At 43.5% G+C, this 24,366-nt stretch overlaps 1 protein-coding gene and 1 non-coding gene across 9 annotated transcripts in view, besides 2 other annotated features; both read left to right on the top strand.

Annotated features, from left to right (window-relative positions):
- NUP210L (nucleoporin 210 like) overlaps positions 1-24,366 on the top strand; it is a 162,427-nt gene that overhangs the window by 34,322 nt on the left and 103,739 nt on the right. For all 8 annotated transcript variants that reach the window (XM_011510122.2, XM_011510123.2, NM_001159484.1 and 5 more), the window contains 4 exons: positions 1,987-2,124; positions 2,915-3,070; positions 16,585-16,783; positions 20,652-20,797. In XM_011510122.2, the coding sequence (XP_011508424.1) occupies positions 1,987-2,124; positions 2,915-3,070; positions 16,585-16,783; positions 20,652-20,797 (639 nt within the window). The remainder of the gene's footprint in view (positions 1-1,986; positions 2,125-2,914; positions 3,071-16,584; positions 16,784-20,651; positions 20,798-24,366) is intronic.
- MIR5698 (microRNA 5698) lies at positions 16,203-16,274 on the top strand. Its single transcript, NR_049883.1, has one exon. It is a non-coding gene; the product is annotated as a microRNA 5698 (primary transcript).
- Positions 22,208-22,708: an enhancer, noted in NCBI's record as "H3K4me1 hESC enhancer chr1:154070563-154071063 (GRCh37/hg19 assembly coordinates)". NCBI's record gives its function as "activates a minimal SCP1, AML or CMV promoter by ChIP-STARR-seq in primed H9 embryonic stem cells {active_cell/tissue: H9 hESC(primed)}" and the evidence as "EXISTENCE:reporter gene assay evidence [ECO:0000049][PMID:30033119]".
- Positions 22,709-23,209: an enhancer, noted in NCBI's record as "H3K4me1 hESC enhancer chr1:154070062-154070562 (GRCh37/hg19 assembly coordinates)". NCBI's record gives its function as "activates a minimal SCP1, AML or CMV promoter by ChIP-STARR-seq in primed H9 embryonic stem cells {active_cell/tissue: H9 hESC(primed)}" and the evidence as "EXISTENCE:reporter gene assay evidence [ECO:0000049][PMID:30033119]".

Below are 24,366 nucleotides of genomic sequence, written 5' to 3'. Positions count from 1 at the left end.
CCTCCTGTGTAGCTGGGATTACAGGTGCATGCCACCATGCCTGGCTAATTTTTTGTATCTTTAGGTAGAGACGGGGTTTCACCATGTTGGCCAGGCTGTTCTCAAACTCCTGACCTCATGATCTGGCCACCTTGGATAATGCATTTCTTTTTTTTTTTTTTTTTAATTATTATACTTTAAGTTCTAGGGTACATGTGCACAATGTGCAGGTTTGTTACATATGTATACATGTGCCATGTTGGTGTGCTGCACCCATTAACTTATCATTTACGTTAGGTATATCTCCTAATGCTATCCTTCCCCCCTCCCCCAACCCCATGACAGGCTCCGGGGTGTGATGTTCCCCTTTCTGTGTCCAAGTGTTCTCATTGTTCAATTCCCACCTATGAGTGAGAGCATACGGTGTTTGGTTTTTTGTCCTTGTGATAGTTTGCTGAGAATGATGGTTTCCAGCTTCATCCATGTCCCTACAAAGGACATGAACTCACCCTTTTTTATGGCTGCATAGTATCCAGAATCTACAAAGAACTCAAACAAATTTACAAGAAGAAAACAACCCCATCAAAAAGTGGGTGAAGGATGTGAACAGACACTTCTCAAAAGAAGACATTTATGCAGCCAACAGACACATGAAAAAATGCTCCTCATCACTGGCCATCAGAGAAATGCAAATCAAAACCACAATGAGATATCATCTCACACCAGTTAGAATGGCAATCATTAAAAAGTCAGGAAACAACAGGTGCTGGAGAGGATGTGGAGAAATAGGAACACTTTTACACTGTTGGTGGGACTGTAAACTAGTTCAACCATTGTGGAAGTCAGCGTGGCGATTCCTCAAGGATCTAGAACTAGAAATACCATTTGACCCAGCCATCCCATTACTGGGTATATACCCAAAGGATTATAAGTCATGCTGCTATAAAGACACATGCACACGTATGTTTATTGCAGCACTATTCACAATAGCAAAGACTTGGAACCAACCCAAATGTCCATTAGTGATAGACTGGATTAAGAAAATGTGGCACATATACACCATGGATAATGCACTTCTAAATACAATTGTCCCTCAGTATATGTGGGGAACTGGTTTCAGGACCCCACATATACCAAAATCCACGCATACTCAAGTCCTACATTCAGCCCTGTAGAACCTTATTATTTATTTATTTATTTGGTTTTTTGTTTGTTTGTTTGTTTTTTGAGACCAGGTTTCCCTATTGTTGCCCAGGCTGGAGTGCAGTGGCGTGATCTCAGCTTACTGCAACCTCCGCCTCCCAAGTTCAAGCAATTCTCCTGTCTCAGCCTCCCAAGTAGCTGGAGTTACAGGCATGCACCACACGCTCAGCTGATTTTTTGTATTTTTAGTAGAGATGGGGTTTCACCATGTTGGCCAGGCTGGTTTTGAACTCCTGACCTCAGGTGGTCCACCCACCTCGTCCTCCCAAAGTGCTGGGATTATAGACATGAGCCACCTCTCCCAGCCAGCCCTGTAGAACCTTACACAAAAAGTTGGCCCTCTATATATGAGTGGGTTCTGCTTGTTTTTAAGTATGAGGCAAATTTCTTACCTTAGCACCTTTAAATGTTCTCATTTTCTTCTGAATAGCTTATAGTATCCCTTTCCCTTTACAGTTTATGGATGTCCAGGGGTCTTTCTTCTGAAAGTATGGTTTCCCTTACTATGTTGATTTTTTAAAAAACCTCTTTTATTTCAGGGAATTTTAAGCTATTTTCCCTGATTCTGATAATTAGTTTAGGTCTAGCAAAACCCTTTTCATTATTATTTCATTTTCATTATTATTGAACCATAGCAACTATGCTTATTTAATGAAGAGAAATATTTATTTATTTCTTTTATAGATAGAAACTGGTTGAGTAATTTATGAGCATACCATTTTGCTGATGTTTTGAGTATATGAATGTGTATTATAAGAATAGTCCTTATAAATATATTTTGCTCCTTTTTTCCTGCTCTTATAGAATAAAGATATTCAGCCTATAAAATTTCTAATCAAACACCAACAAGAAGTGAAGATTTATTTTCCCATCATGCTTACACCCAAATTTCTGGCATTTCCTCATCATCCTATGGGAATGTTATATCGTTATAAAGTACAGGTATGGTGTCCTATAAGGCTTCACAAGGAGATAAGCCGGTTTCTCTAATAGCTTAATTTATTGAAATTTGATTAATGTTACATTTATTTCCTCCCAATCCTAAAAGTATAACTTGGGTTTTGGTGACAACCAAAATTATACTCTTGAAAAATGTCATCTATAACAAGACTTGGTTACAGATGCTTTCTGTCTCTCTTCCCAATATCCTTTCCTTGTGAGTTTTATAAAGTTCTGTTGTGTCTTTTTTTGACATTTTGTGACACTACCATTACTTTGCCTCCCTTTAGTATTTCTCTTGCCTGTTAAGGTACTTTACTATAGTGTCACAGTTTCTTTTCTTTCTTTCTTTCTTTTTTTTTCTGAGACAGAGTTTTGCTCTTGTTGCCCAGGCTGGAGTGTAATGGTGCAATCTCGGCTCACTGCAACCTCTGTCTCCCAGGTTGAAGCGATTCTCCTGCCTCAGCCTCCGGAGTAGCTGGGATTACAGGCGTGTGCCACCACTCCCAGCTAATTTTGTATTTTTAGTAGAGACAGGGTTTCACCATGTTGGCCAGGCTGGTCTCGAACTTCTGACGTCAGGTAATCCACCCACCTTGGCCTTCCAAAGTGCTGGGATTACAGGTGTAAGGCACCATGCCCAGCCTAGTGTCACAGTTTCTAATGTGTCCAAAAATAATTTATTATATTATGTTACTATTTTGTAAACTTTATTTCACCAGTCAAGTTTTACATTTTCACTTAAATTTTATTTTCTTCCGATTGTAATTAAATGTAATGTGTGTTTTCACAGGTAGAGGGTGGCAGTGGCAACTTTACCTGGACTTCTTCTAATGAAACAGTGGTCATAGTAACCACGAAAGGAGTGGTGACTGCAGGTCAGGTCAGGGGGAATAGTACTGTTTTGGCCCGAGATGTACAAAATCCCTTTCGATATGGAGAAATTAAGGTAAACGACTCTCCAGATATTCTTATTACCCCTACAACACTACTGTCTAAATTTAAGTAATTAACACACTTTAAAAAAAGAGCCCAACATGGCTATTTAAAAATATTACTCACATTCAGTCAAGAAATACTTTTTTTTTTGGAGACAGATGTTGCTCTGTTTCCCAGGCTGCAGTGCAGTGGCAAGATCTCAGCTCACTCACTGCAACCTCTGCCTCCCCGGTTCAAGTAATTCTCCTGGCTCAGCCTCCTGAGTAGCTGGGATTACAGGTGCCCACTACCACACCTGGCTAATTTTTGTATTTTTAGTAGAGGTGGGGTTTCTCCATGTTGGCCAGGCTGGTGTCAAACTCCTGACCTCAGGTGATCTGCCTGCCTCGGCCTCCCAAAGTGCTGGGATTACAGGCATAAGCCACTGCACCCAGCCAGAAATACATATTTTAAAAATATTTCTATAACTAGGTTGAATCTTGCTTCACTTAATAGTCACTTATTTAACATCTATGTTTGTTTCCTCATAGGATGATGTTAGTATCCACCTCGAAGGTTATTATCAGAATTATTGAAAAATGTTTTTAACTGGAAAATTTGAGGAAAAAAATGATGAAATGCATTCTGTATTTATTATACTAATTATAAAAACACATGTAAAACTGAAAACAGTAATAGGTAACATTTTGAGCATTTGTTACAGTGCTCTACAAGTTCAGAGAAACTTCCCTTGTAATGAACTATAGACATGATCACTGAAAGTATAGTCTTTATTGTCAGGATTAAATGAGATAGTGTTTACTCCAGTGCTTGGCATATATTTAATATTTAATTAACGTTAACTTTTTTGTTATAGTTATACATATGATTTTTAAATGGCCTTTATAGTAACTTTATCTCTAGTGTCATATTTTGGTTTGTCAATCTGTTACTAAAAGATTGAAAACTCTTTTTTAGTATATTATGTAACCATTTTCCTATTTTTCTCCTTTATTTTTTCTTTTTTTGAGACTGAGTCTTGCTCTGTTGCCCAGACTGGAGGGCAATGGCATGATCATAGCTCACTGCAGCCTCAAACTCCTAGGACTCAAGCAGTTCTCCCGCCTTGGCCTCCCAAGTAGCCAGGACTACAGATATGCACCACCCCACACAGTTAATTTATTATTTTTGTAGAGACAGGGTCTCACTGTGTTGCCCAGGCTGGTCCCAAACTCCTGGCCTCAAGTGATCCTCCTGTCTTGGCCTTCCAAAGTGCAAGGATTACAGGTGTGAGCCACTGTACCCAGCCCCATTTTTTTTTTTTTTTTCCCTGAGATGGAGTCTCACTCTGTTGCCCAGGCTGGAGTGCAGTGGCGTGATCTCAGCTCACTGCAACCTCCGCCTTTCAGGTTCAAGCAATTCTCCTGCCTCAGCCTCCTGAGTAGCTGGGACTACAGGCACCCGCCAACACACCCAACTAATTTTTTTTTTTTTTTTTTTTGAGATGGAGTCTCTTTCTGTCGCCAAGGCTGGAGTGCAGTGGTGCGATCTTGGCTCACTGCAAGCTCTGCCTCCCAGGTTCACCCCATTCTCCTGCCTCAGCCTCCCGAGTAGCTGGGACTACAGGCATGTGCCACCATGCCCGGCCAATTTTTTGTATTTTTAATAGAGATGGGGTTTCACCGTGCTAGCCAGGCTGGTCTCTATCTCCTGACCTCGTGATCCACCTGCCTCGGCCTCCCAAAGTGCTGGGATTACAGGCATGAGTCACCGCGCCCGGCCTAATTTTTTGTATTTTCAGTAGAGACGGGGTTTCACCATTATGGCCAGGCTGATCTCGAACTCCTGACCTCAAGTGATCCGCCCACCCCGGCCTTCCATAGTGGTGGGATTACAGGCATGAGCCACTGCGCCCAGCCCCAGCCCCATTTTTAATATATGTTGCTGTTCTCTATAGGACTTAATAGTTTGCCATCACTCAGTGAACATTTATTATCTCGTAGGTATTATTGGACATTCAGAGATACATAACACATGATCCCTATCTTAAAGTATTTAAAGTATAACTAGGAAGATATATTGACATGAAAAAAGTCAAATAACATTTTAAGAAAATGATATGTGAGATATTTAAAGCCCTGTATGACTGAGAACTACTTGAATTGTACAGTAAGTGCTATTAGTTTGTAAAAGAGAAATCCTTGTGTATGGGACTATCAGAGACTATTATGAAAGAGGTGGGAACTTCAATAAGACTTTTGGAGGATGGAATAAAAGTAAGGCCCAAAGGTCAAATTTAGAGTGCTTCCTTATTTGGTAAATAAACTTTTTTCAGAACACAGCTACTCCCATTCATTTACATATTGTCTGTGGCTGCTTTCAAGCCACAGCTGCTGAGTTAGTAGTTACCACGGAGACTGTGTAGCCTCAATAAGTCTAAAATGTTTACTATCTAGCTCTTTACAGAAAGCTTTGCCAATCCTTGCTGTAGACAATGGGGAACCAATACAGGCTTTTAACAGGTCAATGGTATGGTAAGGTCTCTGTTCTGAAAGATATCTAATTATTTTTATAATCAGACAATAACAGCCATTATACTAAAAAACAAAAGATACTTGCTGGTGCTATAGACTAGTAGATTAGAATGGATTGAAGGGAGAAAGTGAAGGCAAAAACTTCAGTTAAGCTTGAACTAGTGAGATGGTATTGAGAATAGCAGGAAATGGACCAAATGATAATCTTTTTTAACAGGTAAATCAATCCGATTTGATTGAGCAGGGAAGAGTTAAACATTTAAAGCCACAGAGATGATGTGGAGGTTTCTCACTTTGCCAGCGGGGTGGATAGAAAATACAAGAGGCTGGGAGTGGTGGCTTACACATGTAATCCCAACACCTTTGAGTGGCCAAGGCAGGAGAGTGGCTTGAGGCCAGGAGTTCGAGACCAGCCTGGACAACAAAGCAAGACCCCCCCCCCCATCTCTTAAAAAAAAAATTAACCAGGCATAGTGGCACATGCCTGTAGTCCTAGCTACTGAGGCAGGAGGGTCGCTTGAGGCCAGGAGTTTGAGGTTGCGGTGAACTATGATCACGCCTCTGCACTCTAGCTTAGGCAAGAGTGAGACCCTGTCTTTAAAAAAAGAAAAGAAAATACAAAAAAATGGAAAAGATGATGAATTTAGTTTTGGATACATTTAGCGTAATTCACCTATGGAGCATCTAAGTGGATGTTTTTAATTGGAAATAGGGGTCTGAAGTTCAACTGAAAGATTAGGGCTGGAGAGTTTGCATATGGTTAGTCACTGAAGCTTTGGGACTGGATAAGTTTTCCCAGGAAGAACATATGGATCCTGTGTAATGTAAATGTCACTTTAAGAAACATAGGAAGAGGAACTAGCAGAAGAAACATAGAAAGTGGCAAAAATGACAAAATAAAAGATTTTATTTTATTTTATTTATTAATTTTTTTGAGATGGGGTTTCTGTTGCCCAGGTTCAATGCAGTGGCACAATCGTGGCCTACTCCAGCCTTGACCTCAAGCAATCCTCCCACCTCAGCCTTCCAAGTAGCTGGGACGTGTACCACTACGCCTGGCAAATTTTTTTTTTTTTTTTGAGATGGAGTCTTGCGCTGTTGCCCAGGCTGGAGTGCAGTGGTGCGATCTTGGCTCATTGCAACCTCCGCCTCTCGAGTTCAAGCAATTCTCCTGCCTCAGCCTCCCGAGTAGCTGGGATTACAGGCGCCCACTACCACGCCCAGCTAATTTTTGTATTTTTAGTAGAGACGGGGTTTCACCATGTTAGCCAGGCTGGTCTTGAACTTCTGAACTCGGCCTCCCAAAGTGCTGGGATTACAGGTGTGAGCCACCACACCCGGCTTTTTTTTTTTTTTTTTTTTTTGAGATGGAGTCTTGCTCTGTTGTCCAAGCTGGAGTGCCGTGGCCAGATCTCAGCTCACTGCAACCTCCACCTCCCAGGTTCAAGCGATTCTCCTGCTTCAGCCTCCTGAGTAGCTGGAATTACAGGCACGTGCCACCACGCCTGGCTAATTTTTGTATTTTTAGTAGAGACGGGGTTTCACCATATTGGCCAGGCTGGTGTTGAATTCCTGACCTTGTGATCTGCCCGCCTTGGCCTCCCAAAATGCTGGGATTACAGGCGTGAGCCACCACGCCTGGCCTAATACATTAGTCTTTACAGGCCACATATAGTTACTATCTCATATTCTTTTTTGTGGTTGTTATTGTTTTATTTTACAACCTTTTAAAAATGTAAAAACTGTTCTTAGCTCATTGTACAAAAACAGGTTGTATACAGGCCGTAGTTTGCCAGACCCCTCCTACATGGAGTTAGATGCTTTAAAGAGATCAATAAATTTAAAAATGTAGAGTGATATGTTTAGCACCTTGTGGGTGTGTTTATGTGTGTGTGTGCGTATATAAAAGAGACCTGGACCATTACATTGTGTATAATAGTAAATAACATATATATATATATAATGTATTTATATATGTTCATGTGTATGTAAATATTTAAGGAATGATTTCTTCTTTTTCTTAACAGTTTTAAATTTTATATATATATATATATTTTTTTTTTTAAGAGAGGGTTTCTCTCCCATCACCCCGGCTGGAGTGCAGTGGTACACTCTCAGCTCATTACAACCTCCATCTCCTGGGCTCAAGCAATCCTCCTGCCTCAGCCTCCCAAGTAGCTGAGACTACAGGCATGCATCACCATGCCCAGTCAATTTTTGTATTTTTAATAGAGACAGGGTTTCACCATGTTGGCCAGGCTTGCCTCAAACTCCTGACCTCAGGTGATCCACCTGCTTTGTCCTCCCAAAGCGCTAGGATTATAGCCATGAGCCACTGCACCTGGCCTTTTTTTTTTTTTTTTCCCCAGACAGGGTCTCATTCTGTTGCCCATGCTGGAGTGCAGTGATGCAACCTCAGCTCACTGCAACCTCCGCCTCCTGGTCTCATCCAATCTTCCCACCCGAGCTTTTCAAGTAGCTGGGACTACAGATGTATACCACCATGCTCAGCTAATTTTTAAACTTTTTTTAGAGACAGGGTCTCCCTATATTGCCCAGGGTGGACTTGAACTCCTGGGCTCAAGCGATCTTCCCGCCTTGGCCTCCCAAAGTGCTGTAATTTTTAATCTTCAGGTGTACGTGGTAGGTGTATATATTTATGGGATACATGAGATATTTTGATATGGCCATACAATGCATAATAGTCACATCAGGGTAAACGGAGTATCCATCACATCACCTCAAGAATTTATCCTTTCTTTGTGTTACAAACATTCCAGTTATACTATTTTAGTTATTTTAGCAATGTTTTTTTAGAGACAAGTTCTTGCTCTGTCACCCAGGCTTGAATGCAGTGGCAGGAACATGACTCACTGCAGCCTTGGCCTCCGGGGCTCAAGCAATCCTCCCACCTCAGCCTCCCGAAGTGTTAGGATTACAGGAGTGAGCAACTCTGTCTGGCCATTAATGATTTTTAAAAAAAATGTGTTGTTGAGGCCAGGTGCAGTGGCTCAAGCCTGTAATCCTAGCACTTTGAGAGGCTGAGGCAGGCAGATCACAAGGTCAAGAGATCAAGACCATCCTGGCCAACATGGTGAAACCCCTTCTCTACTAAAAATACAAAAAATTAGTCAGGCATGGTGGTGCGCACCTATAGTCCCAGCTACTCGGGAGGTTGAGGCAGGAGAATTGCTTAAACCTGGGAGGCAGAGGTTGCAGTGAGCTGAGATCGCGCCATTGCACTCCAGCCTGGGCAACAGAGTGAGACTCCATCTGAAAAAACAAAACAAAACAAAAAAAAAGTGTTGTTGAATTTGGTTTACTAATATTTTGTCAAGAGTTTTTCCATCATGTTCATCAGGGATATTGGCCTGTAGTGTTTTGTTTTGTTTTTAATAAGTCTTTGTCTGGTTTTTGTATCAGGGTAATACTGGCCACATAGAATAAGTTTGGACGTATTCTCTTCTCTATTTTTCAAAATACTTTGAGTAGGATTAGAATTAGTTCTTTTTTAAATGTTTAGTAAAATTTAGCCATGAATCCATCAAGTCCTGGGCTTTGTTTTGCTGGGAGACTTTTATTGCAGCTTCGATCTCATTACTTGTTATTAGTCTTTTCAGGCTTTGGATTTCTTCATAGTTCAATCTTGGTAGGTTGTATATGTCTAGGAATTTATCCATTTCTTGTAGGTTTTCCAATTTATTGGCATATAATTGCTCATAGTAGCCCCTAATGATCCTTTAAATTTCTGTGGTATTGGCTGTAATATCTTCTTTTTCATCTCAGATTTTACTTTTATTATTTATTATTTATATATTTTATTTATTTATCTAGTTTTTGAGACTGAATCTCACTCTGTCGCCCAGGCTGGAGTGCAGTGGTGCGATCTGGGCTCATTGCAACCTCTGCCTCCTGGGTTCAAGTGATTCTCATGCCTCAGCCTTCCGAGTAGCTGGGATTATAGGCGCCTGCTACCACGCCTGGCTAATTTTCGTATTTTTAGTACAGATAGGGTTTCACCATGTAGGCCGGGCTGGTCTCAAACTCCTGACCTCAGGTGATCTCCCGGCCTTGGCCTCCCAAAGTGGTGGGATTACAGGCATGAGCCACCGTGCCCAGCCAGATTTTACTTATTTGGGTCATCTCTCTCTCTCTCTTTTTTTTTTTTTTAGTCTGGCTAAAGGTTTGTCGATTTTGTTTATCTTTTCAAAAAACCAACTCTTCATTTTGTTGATCTTTTGTATTTTTTTATTTCATTTATTTCCGCTCTGATCTTTATTATTTCTTCTACTAATTTTGGCTTTGGTTTGCTCTTGCTTTTGCAGTTTTGTTTTTCTTTTTTTTCAGGCAAGGTCTTGCTCTGTTGCCCAGGCTGGAGTACAGTGGTGAGATCACAGCTCACTGCAGCCACTACCTCCCAGGCCCAAGTTATCTTCCAGCCGCAGTCTCCCAAGTAGCTGGGAATACAGGTGAACACCACCACGCCAGCTGATTTTTGTATTTTTTGTAGAGACAAGGTTTCACCATGTTGTTCAGGCTGGTCTTGAACTCCTGGGCTCCAGCAATCCACCTGCTTCAGCCTCCAAAAGTATTGGGATTACAGGCATGAACCACTGTGTCCAGCCAACTTTTCCAGTTCTTTAAGATACTTCGGCTGGGTGCGGTGGCTCACACCTGTAATCCCAGCAATTTGGGAGGCCGAGGCAGGTGGATCACAAGATCAAGAGATTGAGACCATCCTGACCAACATGGTGAAACCCTGTCTCTACTAAAAATACAAAAATTAGCCAGGCATGGTGGCGTGCCCCTGTAATCCCAGCTACTCAGGAGGCTGAGGCAGGAGAATTGCTTGAACCCAGGAGGTGGAGGTTGCAGTGAGCTGAGATTGCACCACAGCACTCTGGCCTGGCAACAGAGCAAGACTGTCAAAAAAAAAAAATACAACATTGGGTTGTTTTTTTCAAGTTTTTCTACCTTTTTTTTTTTGAGACAGAGTTTTGCTCTTGTTTCCCAGGCTGGAGTGCAGTGGCGTGATCTTGGCTCACTGCAACCTGTGCCTCCTGGGTTCAAGTGATTCTCCTGCCTCAGCCTCCTGAGTAGCTGGGATTACAGGTGCACGTTTCCATGCCCTGCTAATTTTTTGTATTTTTATTAGAGATGGGGTTTCATCATGTTGGCCAGGCTGGTCTGAAACTCCTGACCTCAGGTGATCCACCTGCCTCAGCCTCCCAAAGTGCAGGGATTACAGGTGTGAGCCACCGCACCTGGCCTCTACTTTTTTGATGTAGGCATTCATTACTATAAACTTTCCTCTTAGTACTGCTTTCACTGTATCTCATAGGTTTTGTTATGTTGTGTTTTCATTTTTGTTTTTTTCAAGAAATTTTAAAATCTCTTTCTTAATTTCTTCATTGATATGCTGGTCATTCAGGAGCAAGTTGTTTAATTTCAATGTGTTTGTATAGTTTCCAAAATTCCTCTTGTTACTGATTTCTAGTTTTAGTACACTGTAGTCAGAGAGGATATTTGACATAGTTTCAATTTTTTTGAATTTTTGAACAATTGTTTTGGACCTAACGTAGTCTATTCTTGAATATGATCAAGAATACTCATTCTTGCTGAGGAGATGAATGTGTATTCTGCAGCCATTGAATGAAAAGTTCTGTAAATTCTATTAGATCCTTTTGGTCTACATTGTAGACTAAGTTTGATGCTTCTTTGTTGATTATCTGTCTGGATAATCTGTTCATTGTTGAAAGTAGGGTGTTGAAGTCTCCAGCTATTAATGTAGTGAGGTCTATAGCTCTCTTAAGCTCTAATAATATTTGCCTTATACATCTGGATCCTCCAGTATTGGGTGTATATATATTTATGATTGTTATATCCTCTTGCTGAATTGACCCCTTTATCATTACATAATGGCCTTCTTTTTCTCTTTTTATAGTTTGTCCTGAGATCTATTTTGTCTGATATAAGCATAGCTATTCTTGCTCTTTTTTGGTTTCCATTGGCATGGAATCTTTTTCCATCTCTTTATTTTCAGTCTACATGTGTCTTTATAGGTGAAGCATGTTTCTTGTAGGCAACAGATTGTTGGGTTTTTGTTTTTGTTTTTGTTTTTGAGATGGAGTTTCACTCTTGTTGCCCAGGCTGGAGTGCGATGGCATGATCTCGGCTCACCGTAACCTCTGCCTCCCAGGTTCAAGCAATTCTCCTGCCTCAGCCTCCCGAGTAGCTGGGATTACAGGCATGTGCTACTACGCCCAGCTAATTTTATATTTTTAGTAGAGACGGGGTTTCTCCATGTTGGTCAGGCTGGTCTCGAACTGCCAATCTCAGGTGATCTGCCTGCCTTGGCCTCCCAAAGTGCTGGGATTATAGGCGTGAGCCACTGTGCTCAGCCTTTTTTAAAAAAATCTATTCAGTCACTCTATCTTTTTTGATTGGAGAGTTTGTCCATTTAAATTCAATGTTATTATTGATAAATAAGAACTTACTCCTGCCATTTTTAATTTGTTTTCTGGTTGTTTTGTGGTCTTCTCTTCCTTCTGTCCTTCCTTCCTGCCTTCTTCCTTTTTGTGAAGGTGATTTTCTCCAGTGGTATGTTTTAATTTCTTGTGTTTTATTTTTGTCAGGTTACCATGACGCTTGCAAATAAGATCTTATAACTCATTATTTTAAACTGATGACGTCTTAACACTGATTGCATAAACAAACTAACAAATTAGCAAAGAGAAAACTAATCAAAACTCTAGGCTGGTTGCAGTGGCTCATGCCTGTAATCCCAGCACTTTGGGATGCCGAGGTGGGTGGATAACCTTAGATCACCTAAGATCAGGAGTTCGAGACCATCCTGGCCAACATGGTGAAACCCTGTCTCTACTAAAAATACAAAAATTAGCTGGTTGTGGTGGTGCATGCCTGTGATCCCAGCTACTCATGAGGCTGAGGCAGGAGAATTGCTTGAACCTAGGAGGTCGAGGTTGCAGTGAGCTGAGATTATGCCACTGCACTCCAGCCTGAGTGACAGAGCAAGACTCCATCTCAAAACAAAAACAAAAACAAAAACTTCTACACTTTAATTTCATTCCCCTGCTTTTTAACTTTGCGTTGTTTCTATTTATATCTTATACTGTCTATGTCTTGAATAGTTGTTATAGTTATTCCTTTTTATAGGTTCTTCTTTTAGTCTTTCTACTCAAGGTATCAGTAGTTTAAATCTCTCTCTTTACCTCCTCTTTAAGGCCAGTAGCTCTTAGATTTGCCATTTTGTGGCCATTTTCTAGAACTTCATTCTTTTCTATTATTTTTTCTTTAGTCTCCGCTAACTGTATTTTCTTTCTTTTCTATTTTTTTGAGGCCACATCTCACTCTGTCACCCAGGCTGGAGTGCAGTGGCATGATCTCTGCTCACTGCAACCTCCACCTCCTAGGTTCAAGTGATTTTCATGCCTCAGCCTCCCAAGTAGCTGGGATTATAGCATGCGCCACCATGCCCAGCTTATTCTTTCTATTTTTAGTAGAGACAGGCTTTCACTGTGTTGGCCAGGCTGGTCTCAAACTCCTGGCCTCAAGTAATCCACCCACCTTGGCCTCCCAAAGTGCTGGGATTACAGGTGTGAGCCACTGCACTTGGCCCATGACTGTATTTTCAAATAACCTGTCCTCAAGCTCACTGATTCTTTCTTTTGCTTCATCAGTTCTGCTGTTGAGAGACTGATGCATTCTTTAGTTTTTTTTTTTTTTTTGAGACGGAGTCTCACTCTGTTGTCCAGGCTGGAGTGCAGTGGTGCAATCTCAGCTCACTGCAAGCTCTGCCTCCCAGGTTCACGCCATTCTCCTGCCTCAGCCTCCCAAGTAGCTGGGACTACAGGCGCCCGCCAACACGCCCGGCTAATTTTTGTATTTTTAGTAGAGACAGGGTTTCACCGTGTTAGCCAGGATGGTCTCGATCTCCTGATCTCGTGATCTGCTTGCCTTGGCCTCCCAAAGTGCTGGGATTTCTTTAGTATGTTAATTGAATTTTTCAGCTCCAGGATTTCTGCTTTTTAAAATTATTTCAATATCTTTGTTATATTTGTCTGATAGGATTCTGAAATCCTTCTCTTAAATTTCATTGAACTTATGCAAAACAGCTGTTTTGAACTCTTTGTCTGTAAGGTCATATAGCTCTGTCACTCCAGGATTGGTCACTGGTGCCTTATTTAGGCCATGTTTTCCTGTATGGTCTTGATCTTTGTGGATGTTCATTGATGTCTGGGCATTGAAAAGTTAGGTATTAATTGTAGTCTTTGAACAATGTGCTTGTTTGTACCCATCCTTCTTGGGAAGGCTTTCCAAGTATTCAAAGAGAATTGAGTGTCGTGATCTAAGTCTTTGGTCACTGCAGTACATATCTGCGTTGGGCGGCACCCCAAGCCCAGTAAAGCTGTGACTCTTGCAGACTTGTAGAGGTACTGCTTTGGTGGTCTTAGGTAAGATCCGGGAGAATTCCCTGGATTACCAGGCAGACTCTTGTTCCTTCTCTTTCTTTTGCCCAAACAAACAGAGTCTCTCTCTCTCCCTGCTAAGCTGTCTGGAGCTGGGGGTGGGGTTACACAAGCCCCTCTGTGGCCACCACCACTAGGACTGCACTGGGTCAGACCCAAAGCTAGCATAGCACTGGGTCCTGCCCAAGTCCTTCAGTGACCACTGCCTGGTTACTGCCAGTGTTCACTCAAGGCCCAAGGACTGTACAGTTAGTGGGTAGCAAATTCAGCCAGGCTTGTGGCCTTCGTTTCAGGATGGGAAGCTCCTCACCAGCCCAGGGCAGGTTCAGAAATTCTATTCAGGAGCCAGGGCCTGGAGTCAGGAACCTTAGAAATCTACCTGATGCTCTATTCTACTGCGACTAAGCTGGCACCCAAGCTGCAAGACAAAGCCCTTCCCAATCTTTTTATTTATTTATTTATTTATTTTTCTGGAATGGAGTCTTACTCTGTCACCCAGGCTGGAGTGCAGTGGCATGATCTCAGCTGACTGCAACCTCTGCCTCCTGGGTTCGAGCGATTCCCTTGCCTCAGCCTTCCGAGTAGCTGGGAGTACAGGCATGCACCACCACGCCCGGGTAATTTTTGTATTTTTAGTAGAGATGGGGTTTCACCATATTGGCCAGGCTGGTCTCGAACACCTGACCTCAAGTGATCCACCCATCTCGGCCTCCCAAAGTGTTGGGATTACAGGTGTAAGCCACCGCACCCAGCCCCCTTCTCGTTCTTGACTCTCCTTTGTTCAAACTGAGGGAGTCTCTCTTTGTGGCCACAACTGCCCCAGACCCGTGGCAAATACTGACTAGCTACTACCAATGTTCATTAAAGGTCCAAAGGCTCTTCAGTCAGCTTGTGAATGCTACCAGGCCTGGGTCTCTCCCTTCAGTGAAGTGGGCTCCCCTCTGGCCTAGGGCAGGTCCAAAAATGCCATCCAGGAGCCAAGGCCTGAAATTGGGGACCCCTGAAGCCCACTTGGTGCTCTACCTCACTATGGCTGAGCTGGTACTCAAGCTGTAAGACAAAGTCCCCTTTACTTTTCCATTTCCTTTTCTTAAGCAGAAGAAGTCTCTGCTCATGGTCATCACAGCTGGGAATGTACTGAGTCACACCTGAAGCCAGCATGGCACTGAATGTCACCTAAGGCCTGTATCAAATACTGGAAACCACCAAATGTTTATTCAAGGCCCAAGGGCTCTTTTTTTTTTTTAACGGATTTTTGCTCTGTCACCTAGGCTGGAGTGCAGTGGCGTGATCTCGGCTCACTGCAACCTCCACCCCCCGGGTTCAAGCAATTCTCATGCCTCAGCCTCCTGATAGCTGGGATTACAGGTGCCCGCCACCACGCCCAGCTAATTTTTGTATTTTTAGTAGAGACAGGGTTTCGCCATGTTGGCCAGACTGGTTTTGAACTCCTGACCTCAGGTGATTTGTCCACCTCAGCCTCCCAAAGTGCTGAGATTACGTGCGTGAGCCACTGCACCCGGCCAAGGCCCAAGGGCTCTTTAATCAGCAAGTGTTGAATCCTGCCAGGACAGTGTCCTTCCTTTCAAGACAGCAGGTTCCCTTCTGCCCCAGGGTGTGTATAGAAATGTTTTCAGGGAGTTAGTGTCTGAAATGGGGGCCTTGTGACTCTGCCTCATGCTCTATTGTGGCTGAGCTATTATCCGAGTTGCAAAACAAAGTCCTTTTTACTCTCCCCTCTCCTCTCCTCTCCTCTAGTAGGAAGAAGGAGAAACTCTCACAGAGTTATGAGCTGTGCACCTGGGGTGTGGGGAGGAGTGGTACAAGCACTCTCTTGGCCACCCCAGCAGGTGTCTCACTAGGTCATATGCATCCCAGGTCCACTGGCTTCAAGCTCAGCACAGCACCAGAACTTGCCCAAGAATTGCAGTCTTTGTGGCCTACACAGCCTTTCAAGTTTATTTAGGACCCCAGAGTGCTTTAGCCCACAGTGTCGGGGTTAGCTGGAACTCAGGTTCAGACCACTGGGATGGGTAATTCCCCTTTGGCTAGCGCTGGTCTAAATGCTCCTTCCACAGGCACTGACTGAATTCTGCCCTGTGTTGCTTTCCACTGTAGTAGGCAGCACTGAGCTCCAAATCTGTGCACCTGGGGGAGTGCAGTGATTGTGGAATGCAAAGTCCCACAATCACTGTACTCCCCAGGTGCACAGATTCTCTCTCTGCCCCATGTGGCTGCTGCCACTGCCTGGGAAAGGAAGAGAGGTGATGTTGGCAATTCTAGACTCTTTTCTTGCCCCTTCAGTGGCTCCTTCCTTGATATGATGTTAAAACCAGGTACTGTGATTGCTCACCTGATTTTTGATTCTTATGAAGGTGACTTCTTGTATGGATAGTCATTCAATTTGGTGTTCCTGCAGGGAGGACAATCACTGGAGGGTTCTATTTGGCCATCTTGCTTCTCCTCCTCCTAAGACTTTTTTTTAACATAACTTTCTTGAAAGATGAATTTTTCCCCTCCAGATACATGTCCTGAAACTGAACAAAATGGAACTGTTACCATTTCATGCTGATGTGGAGATTGGCCAGATTATAGAAATACCCATTGCAATGTATCACATAAATAAAGAGACCAAAGAAGCCATGGCATTCACAGACTGCTCTCATTTATCCTTGGATCTGAACATGGATAAACAAGGAGTCTTTACTCTTCTCAAAGAAGGTAAAAGTAGCCTTTTTATCTTCTCCTTCCTTTGTCTTTATTTATTTATCTTTAACTCTACCACTGTGACAGATTACTTTCTTTGTCTTTAAGGAAGCAATCAACAATTCAGAAACTACCAATTATAGTCTAAGTTCACATATTACTTTTCTTTATAATACTTTATTTTGTCAAATGCCTTGTAGTAAGTGTTATACTCCTCATTTTACAGATGTAGAAACACAGGCACAGAAACTGAATAACATTGCAGCTGGCCAATATCAGTTTTTTGTTTGTTTGTTTTTGTTTTTTGAGACAGTGTCTCGCTTTTGTTTTTTTTTTTCTTTTTTTTTTTTTTTTTGAGACGGAGTCTCGCTCTGTCGCCCAGGCTGGAGTGCAGTGGCGCGATCTCGGCTCACTGCAAGCTCCGCCTCCCGGGTTCACGCCATTCTCCTGCCTCAGCCTCCCGAGTAGCTGGGACTACAGGCGCCCGCTACCACGCCCGGCTAATTTTTTGTATTTTTAGTAGAGACGGGGTTTCACCGTGTTAGCCAGGATGGTCTCGATCTCCTGAGCTCGTGATCCGCCCGCCTCGGCCTCCCAAAGTGCTGGGATTACAGGCGTGAGCCACCGCGCCCGGCCCAGTGTCTCGCTTTTGTTGCCCAGGCTGGAGTGCAGTGGCACGATCTCGGCTCACTGCAACCTCCACCTCCCGGGTTCAAGCAATTTTCCTGCCTCAGCCTCCCAAGTACCTGGGATTACAGATGTCCACCACCATGCCTGGCTAATTTTTGTATTTTTAGTAAATATGGGGTTTTGCCATGTTGGCCAGGCTGGTCTTGAACTCCTGACCTCAGGTGATCTGCCCGCCTCAGCCTCCCAAAGTGCTGGGATTACAGGCGTGAGCCACTGCGCCCAGCCAGTTTTTATTTATTATTATTATTATTATTATTAGAGACAGGGTCTCACCACCGTGTCACCCAGGCTGGAGTGCAGTGGTGCAATCATAGAACATTGTAACCTTGAACTCCTGGGCCCAAGCTATACTGCTATCTCAGCCTCCCAAGTAGCTGGGATTACAAGTGCAAGGTCAATATCAGATTTTAGTTCACAGTAAGGTTTTCCATTTCTAGCCTCAAGCTCTTTTCTTCTTTCTTCCCCTTATATATATACCATATGTCTTTTAAGAGGAATGTAGAGCCATTTAATATATGCATACATTCAATTTATTGAAAAAGGATAAAATATCTCTTTCTAATAAAACAGAAAATATGAATAACGGTCAACATCCTTTCCTGCTATTGAACTTCTTATTTGATCCTGATCCCCATTGTTTTTTCATCAATATAATGACAGTAGTAGCATCTAAGATTTGCTTAGCATTTACTCTTTGCCAAGCTCTGTTCTGAATACTTTTTATACATTAACTATTTAATTCTTATATCTATAAGCTTGGTATCAAATTGGACTTTTGCTTTGCCCTTGCTCATTATACTACATACATACATACATATAGACACACCCTCACTCCCGGGTTCAAGTGATCTTTCCCCTCCTCTCAGAGTATTTTAATTTTTAGCCCCTTATTTCCCATGTAGGACAACAAAATCCTCCTGACTATTCTTACTTCTGGTCATCATGGCTATCAGATGGCGCTTCATGAACTCAACTTTGGTATTACTTTTTCTGCTCAAAAATTTTGAGACTTCTCATTGTCAGTGGAATGGAGCCAAAATCCTTTTAGTTTGGTATTCAAGACCACTCTACGGTATAACCCAACCTACTTTTCATGATTTCATACTTTTGCTTCATATGTGGTTCTAGCTAAATTAACTACTTTATTTATTTATTTATTTTTATTTAATTTTTGTTTTGTTTTTTTGAGATGGAATCTCACTCCATCACCCAGGCTGGAGTGCAGTGGTGCAATCTCGGCTCACTGCAACCTCTACCTCCCAGGTTCAAGTGATTCTTGTCCCTCAGCCTCCTGAGTAGCTGGGACTACATGCACGTGCCACTACACCTGGCTAATTTTTGAATTTTTTAGTAGAGACCGGGTTTCACCATGTTGGCCAGGCTGGTGTGGAACTCCTGACTTCAGGTAATCCACCTGCCTCGGCCTCCCAAAGTGCTGGGGTTACAGGCGTGAGCCACCATGCCCGGCTAAATCAACTACTTTAAATTCTCTCATATATATCTCTCATATTCTCATTTATATCTCATTTGTATTTCTTTGTTCATTCTGTTTTCTCAGCCTAAGATACTTTAAACTTTCCTTGATCTCTCCAGCTTGAAATAATCTTTCTATTTTCTAGATTTCTATAATACTTACCACTTTCTATTAATGTTTTAAGTGAATTATTTACATGTTCACTTTCCCCTTGAAACTATGAATGCTTGAGGTCATGATCTTTGCTCATATATATATATTCCCACTGTACATACAACTGTTGTCTTATATATGTCTCTCAATAGAAAGAACAGATATCAACTTGATATAAAGGGCCTAATTGTTAATGTAAGAGATCAAGATGGGTTTTGTTTGTTTGTTTGTTTGTTTTTAACAGTGTCACTCTGTCACCAGGCTGGAGTGCAATGGCACGTCTTGGCTCACTGCAACCTCCGCCTCCGGGGTTCAAGCAATTCTCCCTGCCTCAGCCTCCCAAGTAGCTGAGATTACAGGTGCCTGCCACCACACCTGGCTAATTTTTGTATTTTTAGTAGAGACGGGGTTTCACCATATTGGCCAGGCTGGTCTCGAACTGACCTCAGGTGATCCACCTGCTTTAGCCTCCCAAAGTGCTGGGATTACAGGCATGAGCCACCGCCCCCAGCCAAATTTTTTTTTTTTTTTTTTTTTGAGACAGAGTTTCACTCTTGTTGCTCAGGCTGGAGTGCAATGGCGCAATCTCGGCTCACGGCAACCTCTGCCTTCTGGGTTCAAGCGATTCTCCTGCCTCAGCCTCCTGAGTAGCTGGGATTACAGGTATGCACCGCCACACCTGGCTAATTTTGAATTTTTAGTAGAGACGGGATTTCTCCATGTTGGTCAGGCTGGTCTCGAACTCCCGAGCTCAGGTGATCCACCCGCCTCGGCCTTCCAAAGTGTTGGGATTATAGGCATGAGCCACTGTGCCTGGCCCAAGATGGTATTTTTAATATATTAAAATTCTTATATTTTCATAGCTTAATCTCCTTTAAAACTAACTGCTTGTGGCTGGGTGCGGTGGCTCATGCTTGTAATCCCAGCATTTTGGGAGGCTTAGGTGGGTGGATCACAGGGTCAGGAGTTCGAGACCAGCGTGGCCAATACAGTGAAACCCTGTCTCTACTAAAAATATAAAAAATTAGCCAGACATGGTGGCAGGTGCCTGTAATCCCAGTTACTCAGGAGGCTGAGGCAGGAGAATCGCTTGAAACCAGGAGGCTGAGGTTGCAGTGAGCCAAGATTGCACCATTGCACTCCAGCCTGGGCAACAAGAGCGAGACTCCATCTCAAAAAAAAAAAAAAAAAAAACAAAGCCAAAAACTAACTGCTTGTTACCCCACTGAAATCATATTTGTTTTGGGTTTTTTTTTTTTTTTAGGTAAGGTCTTACTCTTGCCCAGGCTGGGGTGTAGTGGTGCAATCATGACTCACTGCAGCCTTGACCTCCTGGGCTCAAGTGATCCTCCTTCCTTAGCCTCCTGAGTAACTGGGACTACAGGTGCACGCCACCATGCCTGGCTAATTTTTTAAATATTTTGTAGACACGGGGTTTCACCATGTTTTTCAGGCGGGTCTTAAACTTCGGAGCTCAAGCAATCTTCCTGCCTTGGCCTCCCAAAGTGCTGGGATTACAAGCCTGAGCCACCACGCCCTGCCAAAATCATGGTTTTTGATTCACAGGTATTCAAAGACCTGGACCAATGCATTGTTCCAGTACACATATCGCAGCTAAATCTCTTGGCCATACTCTGGTAACAGTAAGTGTGAATGAATGTGACAAGTACTTGGAGAGCAGTGCTACATTTGCTGCTTATGAACCCCTAAAGGTAAGATATTTCATGGTAAGGAACTGGCATTTCTTTTAATGGACTTAACTATGTCTGCTTATGGGCTTACTAGCTATCTGTGGTCCCCACTAAGGATCAATGACATTTATGTTCTCTTTACTTGCCACTTTTTTGTTTTTAGATCTACAGCTCTCTCCTCAAACCTAAGTCTCCAGGGAGTTTACTCCCTCATGCTTCTGTCACAGGAATATCTTTAAGTTGTATCAGAAAGTTTTAGATATTCTCCTTTCTTCTTTTTTACTGAGGTATAAAATATGTACAGAAAAGTTCATAAAGTACACTAATCTTCAGGTGCTATCTGAATTTTTACATGTGCATATATCTCTGTAAATACCGAAGTTAGTATATTAGTGTACTCTCTTTTGAAGAACCCTGAAAGATAATTTCTGTCCTATGGAAGGAAGTCAATCATCTTTTACCCTATATACTTATGGATTTTAAGCACAGAAGCCATTATATTGAGCCCTAAGGACTGGTTCATTATAATGGAGACAGTATGATAAGTGGTTCTGATGGCAGTGGCAGCCTGTCTGGAGCAGCTGCTGCCATCACGCCAGCTGCAGCAGGGAGATGCAGCTGGGGCTGCACACTCCGTGGAGCCGTTTGGAACCGACGCCAAGTGGGAGCCCCAGGAGCCCCACTCCTTCTGAGCTGGTGGGGCGGGAGCTCCCTGGGTGCAGCTTTGGCTGCCCAAGTCATGACTGCGGACCCAGGCCTCCTGCTCCACCGAGCAGGCAGGAGATGCACCCCTGCCCCAGCCCCACTACCCCCTTGCCATGCAACTGCAGCTACTCAAATGGCAGCTGTGGACCCAGGCATCCTTGTACTCTTGGGAACCCAGGAAGGCCCCTTCTGCACACTCCCGCTGCCTGGCTTCTTCCTGCTGTCAGCACCAACTCCAATCTCAGAACAAAGTTGGGCCAATCCTGGGCGCTGTCACAATCTGGCCAGATGAGCACACGCTTGGGGCAATTTTAACATGCCAGGCCCCTGCTGCCTTGGCCCCCTCCAGACTTTGGGCACCAACAAGCATAGGAGGGAAGCCAAAGAGGAGCTGAGGGCAGCTCGGCACTGGCCCGCAGGTGCCCCTTGGCACCTACAGCCTCGGTGCCATGAACAGCGGCAGGAGGCAGACAAGTTCCTGGGCAGAAGGTGCAGTATCTGGTGAGGCCCTACCTTCAGGCCAGGTAGGGCCTGAAGCCTGGGGTCCAGGCTGCCAGTCCCGCAGACCAGAGTGGGAACTTGTGATGCCTTTTCCAGACCCACCCATGGCTGCCCATGGACCAATCAGTGTGGACTTCCTCCCCTCTGATGCCCATAAAAGCTCCAGGCTCAGCCGGAGCTGGGCAGAAGACATTGGGCAACCAGCTGCAGAGAGGAGCTACCAACTCCAGGGCCTCCTCTCTGCTGAGAGCTGCAGACACTGGGATGACCAGCAGCAGAGAGGTACTACCCACTCCAGGGCCTCCTCTGAGCTATTCTGTTACTCAATAAAGCTCTTCTTCACCTTGCTCACCCTCCACTTGTTCTGCATATCTTATTCTTCCTGGATGCAGGACAAGAACTTGGGACCTTCCCAATGGCAGGGCTGAAAGAGCTATAACACAAACAGGGCTGAAACATACCCCTTGCTCACCACGTTGTGGGTGAAGAGAAGGAGAGAACTGTGACTCTTCAGGGAGCCGAGACCTGGGAGCTCCCCAAGCCAGGGCTGTGACTCCCACTTTGGGGCCCTGTGGTTCCTGGAGTCTCTAAGCTTCCAGGCACCACTGTGTTCCCCAGTGGCAGCGTGGAAGCTGCTTGCAGTGCACCTGATCTAGCCACAGGCTTGCAGAGAGCCAGTGCCCATGCTGGCACCTGGAGCTGCCTGTCCCACTGCAGCAACTGGTGTGCCTGACTGCAGTGGCTGGACCCCATGCTTCCTCACTCACACACCTGTTGCCACTCCATGCCTGGCTCACCCTTGGCAGGTGTGAGATCCAGGCTGGTAGCATGAGCCAAGCACAGCCTGCCAGGCCGAGTGGATGGAATGAGCCCAGTGGGCCCAAACAAAACTTGGGCAAAGGTGCCACCAGCCACAGAGGTTTCCAGCCAGAAAAGCAACACCCTAAGTATCCTGCAACAGTTCAAAATAAAAGTAGATAGAGACTGGCATGGTTTCTACATCCTATTTGATTCCAGCAGTAGCTAAAATTGGTATCTACAAGTTCTTGCTGATAGATACTGACAAATCCTGACTCAATGCCTCTTGGAATAAGGAGCACCCACAGGGAAAAATGTTAACACTAATGAAAGAAGTAAAGTAAGGTAAAAGAAAAAAGATAAATTATTCATTCAAATTTGCATTTTAAGTTGGCCTCATTGTACATTGTGTAGCATATATATTAAATATATGGTTCAAGTATATTTCACTAGTTCCCTGGGTGGGTGAATCCTCCTTCTTGCCTAATTAAATGCAAGTGCTTGGCTGTGGCTCATTGTAAAGTTCCATTAGGTTTTTTCTTACTTTTATCATTGTCCTTAGGCTTATTTTATATATATTGAATGTCCACAAATCAGATCTCCCCTGAATGAAAGTCGTCCTTAAAGGAAAGGAAGTGATGATGATTTTCTTTTTCTACCTAGTATGTTAGTCACGTATCTTTCCCCTTGCCTGATGAAAAACAAATTGTTTAAAAATATGTGTGTTCTACCCTTGTTATCATTACTATGTTTCAGTACATGGTACAGTTCTCAATTTGTCCTTTTATATTATCAGCTCAATTCGGTTCATCTGGTTAGTTTTTGACTATACATCTAAGAAAAAGGAATCATTTGTTTTGCTTTTTCAGAAAGGCCATCTATGAGACCTCTGTGTTTATTTTTTCCATTCATTTCTTCTGTCAAAAAAAATTTTTTTTTTTGAGACAGAGTCTCACTCTGTTGGCCCAGCTGGAATGCAGTGGTGCAATCTCGGCAACCTCCACCCCCTAGGTTCAAGCGATTCTTGTGCCTCAGCCTCCCAAGTGGGTGGGATTACAGGTGCACACCATGATGCCCAGCTAATTTTTGTATTTTTAGTAGATATGGGGTTTTGCCATGATGGCCAGGCTGGTCTCAAATTCCTGGGCTCAAGGGATCCGCCTGCCTTGGCCTCCCAAAGTGCTTGCATTACAGGCATGAGCCACCACACCTGGCCAAAAACTTGTATGGCACTGTGTAACATGTCTTTTTTTTTTTTCCTGAGACCAAGTTTTGATCTTGTTGCCCAGGCTGGAGTGCAATGGCACAATCTTGGTTCACTGCAACCTCTGCCTCCAACTGATTCTCCTGCCTCAGCCTCCCAAGTAGCTGGGATTACAGGCGTGCACCACCATGCTCAGCTAATTTTGTATTTTTAGTAGAGATGGGATTTCACCATGTTGGCCAGGCTGGTCTCAAACTCCTGACCTTAAGTGATCCACCCACCTCAGCCTCCCAAAGTGCTGGGATTACAGGCATGAGCTACCGCACCTGGCCACATGTCTTTTTGTAACACTTATTATATTCTTTACCTACTCTAAGTCTGT

Source organism: Homo sapiens, chromosome 1 (assembly GCF_000001405.40).
Source record: "Homo sapiens chromosome 1, GRCh38.p14 Primary Assembly".
Lineage (NCBI taxonomy): Eukaryota > Metazoa > Chordata > Mammalia > Primates > Hominidae > Homo > Homo sapiens.
The sequence above is the reverse complement of the archived record's forward strand: the minus strand, read 5'-3'. Positions and strand labels throughout refer to the sequence as shown.